This window comes from Homo sapiens, chromosome 5 (genome assembly GCF_000001405.40).
Source record: "Homo sapiens chromosome 5, GRCh38.p14 Primary Assembly".
NCBI lineage: Eukaryota > Metazoa > Chordata > Mammalia > Primates > Hominidae > Homo > Homo sapiens.
Window position 1 is genome coordinate 36,610,967 of NC_000005.10, and position 13,061 is coordinate 36,624,027.

A 13,061-nucleotide genomic window follows, 5' to 3' on the forward strand; every position below is an offset into this window, starting at 1 on the left:
CAACTTAGGAGCAAACAGATTTAGGAGAGAAGGAAGAACCCTTCAGTTATCTGTTAGTGTGTCTTCCATCAAGAACCCAGTGAATATAAAGGCTCTATTTAGCTTGTCACTGGGTTCCATGTCTACCAGTCCTAAGAGATAGGAAAAGAATGTGTCTGTACACCAACTCTTAATTTATTTGCTGTAGCATAAGAAAAAACAAGAAAGATGCTAGCAAGGAAGAAGGAGATAATTATTTTCCCCCAAGATGAGAGATGAGAAGAGCTATAGTTATTACCTAGTTTTCAAATTCCTAGGTTTTTATTGCTTTTAGTAAAAAAAAAAAAAAAAAAAATCACTGGGAAAACCTATGTACTGGGTTGAATCTTTTGTTTAGACTGTTTTTTTTTTTTGCCTTTTTGAAATAAAATGTATATGATTTAATGTGTAGAAGTGGAAACTAGAAAAATATTATGATAAAGACATGTGAATCCATATATTCAAAATAAAGCAGAAAATTATAAATATTTTGATATAAATTCATCTACAAGCATAAGCATAGAACCATTTGTACAATTTTATGTCATTTCTACTGTCATTTCTAAGCAATGTCAAAGTCTGAATGTGCCATGCCATGACAAAAGCTCATGTAACAAGAGCGGTTAGCAATCCGAGAGAACACAGTGCCAAGCTCCACATCCCTTAGAGGGCCCGTCATGAAAGCATTAGATAATGGTCTGCCAGGGCTGTTGTGGACATCCGTCTGACAAAAACCACACTGGGAAGAGTGGTTATTGTCTTTCTTCCTCCAGAAAGAAATTTCTCCCTTTGGACTGTGGTAAGTTGTGTTAGAGTGACCTCAGACATCTAGCTGAAAGAAAGGAAAAGTCTTTGTCATGTTCAAGTCACAGAACACTGACTCTTTCCATGGCTAGGGAATGAATTGCACAATAAAAATGAAATCTCAGGCCAAACAATATAAAGAAATGGGTCATAAGATCAGCTGCAAGGTTGGGGGATATGTATAAATAGGAATGCATAGAATTGAGTGGTAGTTTTACCTGAAGGCATTCACAAACACAGTAAACTAGCAGCTTTCTCTGATGTTGGTCTTGGCGCACGCGCACACACACACACACGCACACACACACACACAGAGTTTGCATTTGAGTTCTCCTTTTTCTGATGGTCTCCTTGCACAGTTCACATTTGAGTTCTCCTTTCTCTGATATTGATCTCTCACACACACACACATACACACACACTCACAGAGTTTACATTTGAGTTCTCCTTTATATGGATTTGAAAGAAATCGGTGAATCATCCTGGCTAAATTTTTATAAAGCATTTCCCTCTGTTCTCTAATACTCTGGCAATGAATTTAAATTGCACTAAAATTCAGTGGAGGGAGGATCACTTGAGCCAGGAGTTCAAGATCAATCTGGGTAACATAGTAAGTTCTCATCTCTCCAAAAACATTTTTTAAAAAAGTATCCGGGTGTAGTGGTACATGTCTGTAGTCCCAGCTACTTGGGGGGGCTGAAGTGGGAGGAGGATCACTTAAGCCCAGGAGGTTGAGGCTGCAGTGAGCCATGTTCATGCCATTGCACTCCAGCCTGGATGACAGAGCGAGACCCTGTCTCCAAATAAGAAAAAAAAAATAATAATAATAATAATAATAATGGTAATAGCTAACACTCACAATGTATGGAAAGCACTATTGTGTTTAAGTGTATTAACTTTATTTAATTCTCACAACAACCCAGAGAGGGAGGTAATTTTATTACTCTCATTGTACAGATGAAAAAACTGAAGCCCAAATCCTTACCACACAGCTGATGAATACTGAGTGGGATTCAAATCCACCATTCCGGCTCCAGGTGCTCATTCACCACACTGTTCTGGGTGCTATAACACCCATTCTGGCTTTACTCCAGCAATTTGCTGAGGGTCTGCCTGAGGTAGCAACGGAAGAGATGGAAAAGAGAGGTCGAACTGAAAGCCCACTGGTGAGACTTGGCAATTGATTCAATGAGAGAAGGTGGACTGCAGACCAATGGCCCGCTTTCTGGTTTAGGTGGCAGAGTGGCTGATGATGCCACATTTGAAGGTAGGATACAGGAGAAAGACTGGGGCCTTGGGGGTGCACGAGGGTAAGTTCAGTTTGGACCTGTTGAGTTTGTGGGGCGGGATGCCACCGAGGTGCATATACAATGGAAGAAGCTTGCTGCAAATCAAGATTTAGAAGGTATTCCTACAACCTCCAAACTGAACGAAGACAGTTCTGTCTTTGGATTTCAAGTGAATAAGGATCAGTGAATCGGGCTATCCTACTGCATAAATGAGTCTACTCTGTAAGTGAGTCTATTCTCAGAACAGTTTCCGTAACTCTAGGGCCCTCTCCTTCATGCTTAAAAGCACTAATCTTTCAGAAATGCTGTAGTGGTGTTCTGTGCCTGGACGTAACTGACCAAGCCAGTTAGGTCAGCCAAGCAGGTTAATCAATGTGGTTTGCTATCAGCTGCTGGACTGAACTGACCTGGTAGTGGGACCACAATAGCCAACTGCTTGAGTTCGTGGAGCAGGCACAGTCGGGCGCCCACACCTCTCAACTTCCTGAACCCCTGATAGCGGGGCATTTTCACACTGATTGAACAACAGCAATCCAAACAACGATGGACAGATAACTGGGTTCAGACTTACGGTTTCTTCAACACTTCTTGGAAATGAGCAGGGAGAGAGGAGCTTCAAGAAGCTGGGGGTAGGGGGATCCTGAGTCCCCTGGTGTTACCAGAGCTCAGCTGTGCTTTCACTCAGCAGAGGCTGGGAGAGGAGGAGGAGGAAGCTATGGATTTGCAGAGTTTTTCTCTGGAGAAGCCACACTGGGTTAGGTTATAAGAACTAGGGTCTGATTTCTCTGTGCTTTATCTTCTCCCCTGGGGGAAAAAAAATACAGAAAAATTGTCAGGGCTAGTGATAACACATGTACCCACAGCACACATGCCTCCCAGCCCTCTCCCACCTTCTCCAAAAGCACTCCAGGCGCTGCCTCCTACTGTGACGGTGTAGCCCAGTAAGGTATAGTGGAGATCAGAGCTATGTGCTCTGGAGTCAGACAGCCTAGGTTTATGTCCAGTTCTGGAACTGAGCCTCTGTTTCTTCATGTATAAAACAGAATAATTATAAAAACTGTCTGCCAAGATTTATATCCCAGTTCTGCTATGCACAAGCCATATCACCTTAAATGATTTCCCTAAGTGCTTGCCAGGTAAAGTGTCCATAGACATTGTAAACCCCACATCTTTTATTTACATCTCTGATATGGCTTCAAGCTGTCATATGCACTGATTTGATGATGCTGATCTTCCAGAGAGCTATAAGACCCTGGCATTTGGGGAGGCTGGGGGGCAGAAGATACTCACCTGGTTTTGGTTTAGAAGTGGCTTCTATTTCCTTAGCTAGAGAAGAGAGCCAAGAGAGTTGTAGGAAGAGCCTTAATAGTTGTAACGGGCTTTTAGATGCAGAAATGAAAGCCTCAGAGTAAGTGATACCATCATTATCTGTCCCTTACCGATCTGGCCTCCTGAGCAGAACCAGAAAGTAATCCCCAGGCAGCCGTTATCACAGCAGACTACTTAGTGGAGGGGGCGCCTGACAGTAGACGCCTCTCTCAGGAAAACAGGGAGGTGCTAAGAAATGTTTTAGTAAGTGTTGTAATACACTCAATAGTGAATTTTTTGTTCATACCTCTCAGGGCCAATCTGAGTGTTCACCACCTCCCTGGTTTCTTCTTTCCTCCAGCCCTTTGGTGCCTACTGCCCATTAACTGCCACTCTGGTCAGAGTGGGGGCTGGCTGGAACCCTGAGAGAAATGTGGCTGGTTTCCAAGAGAGTTGGGAAAGGTTGTTTTGAAGCAGTGGGTAGAAGTCTTAATGTTGTTCTAAGTGTATCTCTGGATTCTATTTTGCTCTTTTTCTTCTTGTCATTTCAGATATTGAGGAAACAGAGCAGGCAATTTCAAATTTCTCTTTCAAGTAGGTAATCAAATAAGCAAGTGTGTTCAGAACAATTAACCTTCAGTAATAATACCTTTCATTTTTGTGGTGGTACAGTTTACAAAGCACTTTCTGTTGCACTCTCTGTAGCACGTAAGCTATGACCAGGCCACCCTCCTTCTGATTTGTATCTGCAAATGTCTGGGACGCAGCTAAGAAAGCATTGAGAGTCTAAAGATCCTGGGTACAGGCCCGGCTCCATCAACTAACTCGATTTTTATGGTGTAAGACAAATCTCTGGGTCTCATTTTCTCATCAGCAAAGTAAGTTTGGACTAATGTCTGCTTCCAACTCCAAAATTCTATCATTTTAAGTCTAGTTTATCTTCCTCTAAAATATCTGAATATATAGAATAATAAACAGAGGTGTTTTGCTTTGTTTTATTTTGTTTTGCTTTGTTTTGTTTCCAGGGCATGACACTGTACCATTGCTAGAATCTTTTTCCTAGATAACCCATTCTGGCTGGTCTCTCCAGTCTAACAAATAGCCCCCTTCTCTCCCTTTGACCTCTTGAGGGCCCCTGGCTCTGGGTCTGATAATCAGTGTTTCCTAGCCAGTGTTTGAGAACACAGTGAGGACACACTTTGCAGAAGCCCCTTCTGCCCTTCAGTCTCTGCCCATCTCTCATAAATTAGGGGAAGAAAACCACAGGCTTTTGTTTTTGCTATGGAATAAATAAGATTGTGAAGAGCCTAACCTGTTTAGAGGAGGCAACCAGAGTTTGAGCACTGTCTTTTCCAAGCTGTACATTCCAGGTACTTGATATTTATGGAACACTAGGATACTATCATTCATCAAGTATTTGCTGGCAGCTAGGTGAGCTGCATCATTGCTGGGAGCTGAGAAAACACACAGAGCACTTCAGTGCACAGAGTTTAGCGACTATACTCACTGAGTATAAAAATGATGAATTTTGTCTGCGTGCAGTGGCTCACGCCTGTAATCCCAGCACTTTGGGAGGCCGAGGCGGGTGGATTACTACGTCAGGAGTTCAAGACCAGCCTGGCCAAGATGGTGAAACCCGGTCTCTACTAAAAATACAAAAATTAGCCAGGCGCGGTGGCGGCTGCCTGTAATCCCAGCTACTCGGGAGGCTGAGGCAGAGAATTGCTTGAACCGGGAAGGAGGAGGTTGCAGTGAACTGAGATCGTGCCACTGCACTCCAGCCTAGGTGACAGATAGAGACTCCATCTAAAAAAAAAAGATGAGTTTTATGTCAAGCTTCAGTGCTATCAAGATTGCCTAGAGCTTATTCCCTAGGCCAAGAATATTCACATCACTATGCCCTATCAAGAGATATGCTCAAGAGAGTTTGAAACCAAAAAGAGAAAGATAAAAGGCCCAAAAAGGTTTAGATAAAGGAAGATATACCCTGGATAAGTTAAGGGAGGGCGCTCCCTTTTTCCCTTTGTATAACTTATCAAAGATTGGCAGGTAAATTTAGGCGCAGCAAATTGAAAGGCACAACCAAGGTTTGAATTTCAAGACGGGGTTTCTGTCTCCAGAGAGGGCAACTCCATTCTTCTTGTCCTCAGACTTCTCCAGTTCTCCAACAATGTTTCCAGGCTACAAACTGCTGCTGCTTCACACAGAGAAGACAGCCGGCTGTTAGCGAGAGACTTCTTATTCAGAACCTTGTATGATGAGGCTCGTTTATCCCTAATGAGAGTAGGGAGAAAAATATACCCTGCAAAGATGGTCCCTTCTTTTATACACATCGCATTACTTGAAATATCATCTTTCAAGCAAATAAAACAAAAGCCCGGGTTTCTTGTGCTTGTCTAGAAGCTTGCTGGTATCTTCAGCTACTTGATGAATGTGAAGAGAAACATCAAGAAGGAAATTATGAGTCTATGGAGAAACTCCCTGTGAAAAAAGTAGTCATGCTTTTATTTAGTTATTTATTTATTTTTGTTTTCTTAGATTTGCCCTTTTAGGGCAAATGAAGTAGTTTGTAAGCAAACCTGAGATTCAACAAACTTTTCAGGGCCTTGTAAGTTCTGACTTTGCAGTGCTTTCCACGAGACGATGGGTGACGAGGAGCTTGTCATCTTTGCAGAGCGGTTTCAGTTTTCTCATACTTGTAACTCCAAGGGCTAATTGATTGAAGTTGCACATGAGCCTATAATGATTGAGTTCAAAGTTTTTTCAGATTCGCTTCCTTGTCTCCAAAAAAAAAGAAAGCGGTTTGGTCAGAAAGTGATCTACTCACTATAAATCTGAACACAATTAGTGACTTTCCTCTCCATGGCCTAAACTAAGTAAACTCCTCGTTAAAGCAAATTAAAGCAGGATTGAGGAGAAATCAACCCAGACTCAAAGCGACATTTTAGAAAGATGCAGGCATCCAGCAAAAATATTGCAGAAAAGAATCCAATAAGATTAAAAAAGAAAGAGGGAGAAAAGGTTGCGGGCTTTTTTTTTTTTTTTTTTTTTTGGCCTATTTTATTTTACTTATGTAGTAAATAAATTAACATAGTCCAAAATAAAAAAATAGAAAAGCTTATAAAAAGAAAGTATCTTATTGACCCCTGTCCCCCAAGGTTCCCGTTTATCTTGTTATTCATTTCTCGTATGCCTTTGGAGAAATGTTATGACTATAAAAATAAATATGTATTTATTCCTTTTTTGACTCTTTGTATACAAATAATAGCATAGTATACATAGCCCACTTTTCACCTTGCTTTTTTCACTTTACAATATACCTGGGATATTATTCCTTAGCACGTAGAAAGGCCCCTCATTCTTAGGGCTACATTGTATGGGCATAATATAACTTATTTAAGCAATTACCAATTGATGGACACTTCGGTTGTTTCCAGTCTTTAGACATTTTTATTTAAAAACGTTGTAATGAATGATCTTTCACCCATGTATCTGGATATACCTAGAAGTGAAATTGCTGGGTCTAAAGGTATACTCATTCATAATGTTGATAAGTATTGCTAATTTGTACTCCATAGAATTTGTAGTCATTTGCTACAAATGTGGGATTTAAAAAAGAGTTAGCCTCGGTACTGTACTGCCTCTGCCAAAGGTAAGCATGAGTGGACTTTGCAGTTTGTGCGGGTTCCGCAGACAGACTGAGGAAACTAAGGAAATCAGTGCATTGGAAAACTGCAATTTCAGGATAGAATCAGGTAGATGCAGGTATCTCCCTGCTTCTAAAGCCCAAATTTAATCCATATACAACACCCAAAGCTTTAATTTGTATGTTACATTCAACTTTTGAAGCCCTTTCACATCTCTTACCATCTATCATCTTCACAATAAACTGTGAAAGAGATGAACCAGGGTTTCAGTTTTTATCCCTCCCTCTAAGCCTTCACCCCCTACCACCAATTTAGCAGAAGTTTAGAAAGTGAAACATTGAGTGATGTGTCAAAGGCGCTTAGAAATAAGAGACTGCCAGAAATAAGTCTATAGAAGCTAGGATCACCCCGCTCCCAGGCCAGCCCTGGCTGCTTTAGTTACAGTCTTAGGGGATGCAACCTGTCCACAAATAATTCCCCAGAATACTGGTGCTAACAGTCTGAGCACAGATGGGTCTCGGCTGGGCTCTAGAGCAGAACATAAAATCAGGAAACTAGAGCAAACTTTACTCTTCATACTGCACAGAGACATATCAGTTAGTAGAACAGAGGCTCTGAAAGAACAGAAAAGGGAATAGATGGAAATGGGAACACCTTTGCTGTGCACCAGCATATAACACACAAAAGGCACCAGGGGAACTTGGGAAATTTTAAACATATTTCATTCCCAGTTTCTACTTGTTCATAATAATTTCCTTTTTCCAGAAAGGAAGGCAACAAGTCCTGCTTTTAATTGCTATTTCTGGAATAGAAGATTTTTAAAAATAACAATGGATTGGACATTTAGAATACCTGTAGGATTATTTGTAAATTAAATTACCACTTCACATAGCCTTTTTTGGTGCAGTTTTTGGAAGAAAGCACCAGGCCTTTCTTAAAACTCCAAGGTTCTTCTGATGCAGTTGTCTCTAAGAGTCACACACCGTGTGCACATAAGTCCGTGTCTCCACTCTACTTGGTCATCAGTCACCCAGGGCTCTCTCATTTGGGCACCCCTGGTGGAACAAGGCTGGGGCAGGTATTTCCCACCTTCAACAGGAAATACCAAAGGACAAAAGAATGAGCCAGGCCAAGGCCCAAATCTCCCAAGGATGTGGAAACAGAGGAGTGGGGGAGGGTTAAGAGGTTGCCTCCAACACTGAGTAGCTTCTCACCAGGAAACGCCTGAAAGTTTGACAGAAACAAAAGACCAGGGACCAGCAGAACTCTTACCCAGGTAGATTCACCATTATGGCTTTGCTTTCTTTGTAAAAATAAGCCAATACAGCCTGGCACAGTGACTCACTGCTGTAATACCAGCAACTCAGGGGGTTAAGGCAGGAGGATCCCTTGAGACCAGGAGTTTGAGACCAGCCTGGGCAACATAGTGAGACCCTGTCTCTAAAAAAATTTCTAAAATTAGCCAGGCGTTGTGGTGCGCACCTGTAGTCCTTGCTACTCAGAAGGCTGAGGCGGGAGGATCACTTGAGGCCAGAAGTTCGAGACCAGCCTGGGCAACAGAGTAAGACCCTAGCTCTAAAAATAATGAAAATAAGCGAATGGAAATTTATGTCCAACAGCTTCATCAAACTGTAGTTTGTAAGCAAACATAAAAATCATAAGTGTGAGACAGGCTTATGATTTCTCCAAATTGGGCCAATTCCTGAAATAGAAATTTTTATTTGATTTCTCATATAATTATTGCATGCCTGCCATAATAATTGTAATGGCTAAATTGCTAAAACATTTTTTGACTCATTAAATGCTCTCATATGCATTATCAAGGAGTTTAGAATTCATTAACAGAAACAAGATGAATTAGTATAAAGCAGCTAAGATTTATAATGCTTTTGATGAACATGGTTCTTTTAAACTCAGAACTTAAAGTTCAGGAGGATCTTAGACACCACCCATTCCAATTGATCTCTCTCATTTTGCAGATTTTTTTAAAAAAGAAAAAAGAGGCCTGAAGAGATTGTGTGATTTGAAGATATGGAAACAGGCAGACCTAAGTTTGCCATCCCATCCTCTCATATCACTTACCGCAATGTGCCTTGGGCAAGTGGCTTATTCTTTCTAGGCCTCAATCTTTTCATTAATGAGATACTGATATTAAACGCTACAGGTTTGATGTGAAAATTAAATCATTTAGATAAAGCATCGCCTACCCTAAGTTACTGACAGGATCAGGCCCAGAACTGTCTTTCTACAGCATCACACTTGCTCTCCCTTCTACTCAAAAAAACCTACCTTAGGAGCAAATTCGGGATCCATAGCTGTCATTCCTCATTTGTGAATTTAGAAAGCTAAGCCTATGAGAAATCATAATTCAGTCAAGATCCAGTCCCACAGACCATGAGAGCAAAATCACATGGTTTTGTACAGAGGGGACATTCCTTAGGGTAGGCTACTATGTTCAGGGATTGCAGTAGGGAATCAGATTTACTGGGGAGCACAGAACAGAGAGATTCCTGCATTCAGAAAGTGTGCTCAGCACCAGCTGGGGCCCAGGCACTGTTGGATCCTGCTCATCTGAAAGAAAATAAGACATGTTTGTTCATTCGTTCAACAATATATTAAGCACCTACTGTGTGCCAGGAACTGTTTGAGGGGCTTGATATAGGTCAGTGAACAAAACTGTCCAAAAAAACCAAAAAAAGTTCTAACCTTGTGGAGCTTACATTTAGCAGGCAGAGAAAATAATAAACAACAAGCATAATAAATAGAAAATTATATTGTATTTTGGAAGGTGATAGGAACTATTAAAACAAATAAAACCAGCTAAGGGATAGGAAAGTTCAAGGTAGACCTCATTCAGAAAGTGACATTTGAGCTAGGTCTTTTTTTTTTTTTAGGCAGGGTCTCTCTCTGTCACCTAGGCTGGAGTGCAGTGGTGCAATCTCGGCTCACTACAACCTCCACCTCCCAGGTTCAAGCGATTCTCCTGCCTCAGCCTCCTGAGTAGCTGGGACAACAGGTGTGCACCACCACACCTGGCTAATTTTTGTATTTTTAGTAGAGAGGGGGTTTCACCATCTTGGCCTGGCAGGTCTCCAACTCCTGACCTCAGGTGATCCACCCACCTCGGCCTCCCAAAGTGCTGGAGTTACAGGCGTGAGCCACCACGCCTGGCCGAACTAAATCTTAAAGGAGGTAAGTGTTGTGGATATGTGGGAATGATGTTTTAGGCAGAAGGAAGAGCCAGTGCAAGGACCATAAAGGGGGATCCTGTCTAAGATGATGGAGAAATGACAAGGAGGGAAGTGTGGAAACAGGTGAGAGGGAGCAGAGTAGGAGATGGGTTCTGAGGCAAGGTGGATCTAGGGGGGCTTGCCAGGAGCACCCATTGATTGCATGGTCTTGGGCTTTGACTACATGAGAGGAGGAGTCAGTGGAGGGAGTAGGGGAGAGAGATCCTGACCTAGGTCTCAGTGTTCTTTTGGGAATAGGCTGGAGAGAGGTGAAGTAGAGGCAGAGAAACCAGTTAGAAGACTACTGCAATAGTCCAGCCAATAAGGAGGGTGACTTTTTAATCTTGGAGCCTTCTTCATTTACAAATTAGAAAAAAAATTTGAAGCATAGAAGGCAATAGAGTTATCCAGGATCACACGGGGAGTTAAGGGCTAGGACTAGAATCTCGACATCATTAATTCCTTAAACATTTGTAGAGCATCTTCTCTATGAAGATAGAAGCAGCCTGGTAAGGAGGCCCAGAGACCTCTGCATGTTAGATTGACCTCTAACTGCCGTGTATAGCTCAATTGTCAAGTGTGGGTGGGACTTGTGACTTCTAACCAACAGAATATGGCAGAGGTGATGGGATGACACTCCTGTGATTATATTACAATTATACGGCAAATTCTTGTAACCTTGAGACAAATTAGTGCTAGTTTGGTTTTGGTTTTGCTACCTAAATGGAAATATCCTAACTGTGAAATGGCAGCATTTGTGTCACGTAAAACCAGTGAGTGGTGTGCTATCAACACTGTGATTTTCCTTGAGCCACGAAAATGGACATCCTGGTCCCCTTTCTGGCTAGATATGCAGGCTGAGGTTTTTCTGGGCAATGGGTATGAATGCCTCCTGGCATTCCTGTAGCACTAATGCTCAAACAGCTGGCTGGCTCATCTTGGTCAGGCACTTAGTTTTCTCGTGGTTGGCCTCAGAATGCGAGGTCTTTCTGTCAAGATCATTGTCTCTATTGCTTTGAGATTTCCTTTTGACATCTGAGCTCCTTTGGGGCACTACCTCGTTTTCTGGAAGATTTGGCGTAGTAATAACTCTTAGAAGACTTTGGTCTGCCAAATTGTTCATGACAAAGTTCGCAGATAGAGGAGGTACTTTAGTAAAATTTTACTATTTCAAACTCCAACATTTACCAAAAGTTAAGTAGTATGATTTGGTCTGAAGTTTACTTCAAATCATGCCTCATTCTTTTACTCTTAAATATTTTCTGGCATCTTAATATTTTCAATAGTTTTATCATATTAAATGTGGACCAAATTCTTAAAGTTGGTCTTTAGCTTGTAACTTATTGTGTGTGTTTGGCCTTAAAGAGTAAACCTATGATATCTTCTTTCTGAGGCTCCAGTGTGCACGTTGTGTCTTAGTTTAGAAAATGAGACGATATTTAATTTTCCAAAGAAGTATTTGTTGTTGGCCGGGCGCATTGGCTCACGCCTGTAATCCCAACACTTTGGGAGGCCGAGGTGGGCAGATCACGAGGTCAGGAGATCGAGACCATCTTGTCTAACACTGTGAAACCCCGTCACTAAAAAAAAATACAAAAAATTAGCCGGGTGTGGTGGCAGGCGCATGTAGTCCCAGCTACTCGGGAGGCTGAGGCAGGAGAATGGCTTGAACCTGGGAGGCGGAGCTTGCAGTGAGCCGAGATCGCACCACTGCACTGCAGCCTGGGCTACAGAGGGAGACTCCATCATCTCAAAAAAAAAAAAAAAAAAAAAGAAGTGTTTGTTGTTAGGAAAACAAGGAACCTCTGAAGGACTCCTTTCTTGAACTTTCTGCATTAGCAAAGAGAAACTATTTAAGCAAAAATGCAACTTTGTTTATAGCATTCATCCAGCACAGTTATTTTGATCACTTTAAACATTCTAGTCAATATATTTTCTAGATTCTAGAAATCTTGTTAAAATACTAACACTGGAGTAAAACAGAAATCTTAACTAATATTGATAACCAAGGGTGCATGATCTGAATATTGCTCATGACATCCATATATTGTATAACATCACCTAGATGCAAACTTTGCAAAATTTGTTTCAGCTCTAACAAATTCTGCTAGGAAGTTATTTTGATTTTCATTGCTATTTTTGCAGAGTAATCTATAATAAAGGATTCGTTCTTTTGCACTGAGGATCTGGTGGCCATAAAGCTTTTTGTCAGCTTTGGGACTATCAATCAATGTGTTTCAAATAAGTGACCACTAATGAAGCTCAGTTTTGCAAAGGGTGAGCTGCTTTACCACAGAGAAAGACTGGTTGTGGCCGGGAGAGGTGGTTCACGCCTGTAATCCCAAAACTTTGGGAGGCTGAGGTGGGTGGATCACAAGGTCAGAAGATTGAGACTACCGTGACCAACAATGTGAAATACCGTCTCTACTAAAAATACAAAAAAAAAAAAAAATTAGCCATGCATGGTGGCGCATGCCTGTAATCCCAGCTACTTGTGAGGCTGAGGCAGGAGAATCGCTTGAACCCAGAGGCAGAGGTTGCAGTGAGCCGAGATTGCGCCACTGCACTCCAGCCTGGGCGACAGAGCAAGACACCGTCTCAAAAAAAAAAAAAAAAAGAAAAGAAAAAGAAAGACTGGTCATGCTACGTCTCCTTGGTCGGAAAGACAGAGCAAAGAGGGCTCTGAGAAGTCTGTGTATCAGGCTGTGTTTCCATGAAGGCTTTTTTCATTGCTGGGGTAGAATGTAATAGGAAACTAGAACTGC

General features: G+C 41.7%; 1 protein-coding gene across 13 annotated transcripts in view, besides 1 other annotated feature; it reads left to right on the plus strand.

Annotated features, from left to right (window-relative positions):
- SLC1A3 (solute carrier family 1 member 3) overlaps positions 1-13,061 on the plus strand; it is a 91,747-nt gene that overhangs the window by 14,379 nt on the left and 64,307 nt on the right. The window lies entirely within an intron of this gene.
- Positions 8,013-8,527: an enhancer, noted in NCBI's record as "OCT4-NANOG-H3K27ac hESC enhancer chr5:36619081-36619595 (GRCh37/hg19 assembly coordinates)". NCBI's record gives its function as "activates a minimal SCP1, AML or CMV promoter by ChIP-STARR-seq in naive H9 embryonic stem cells {active_cell/tissue: H9 hESC(naive)}" and the evidence as "EXISTENCE:reporter gene assay evidence [ECO:0000049][PMID:30033119]".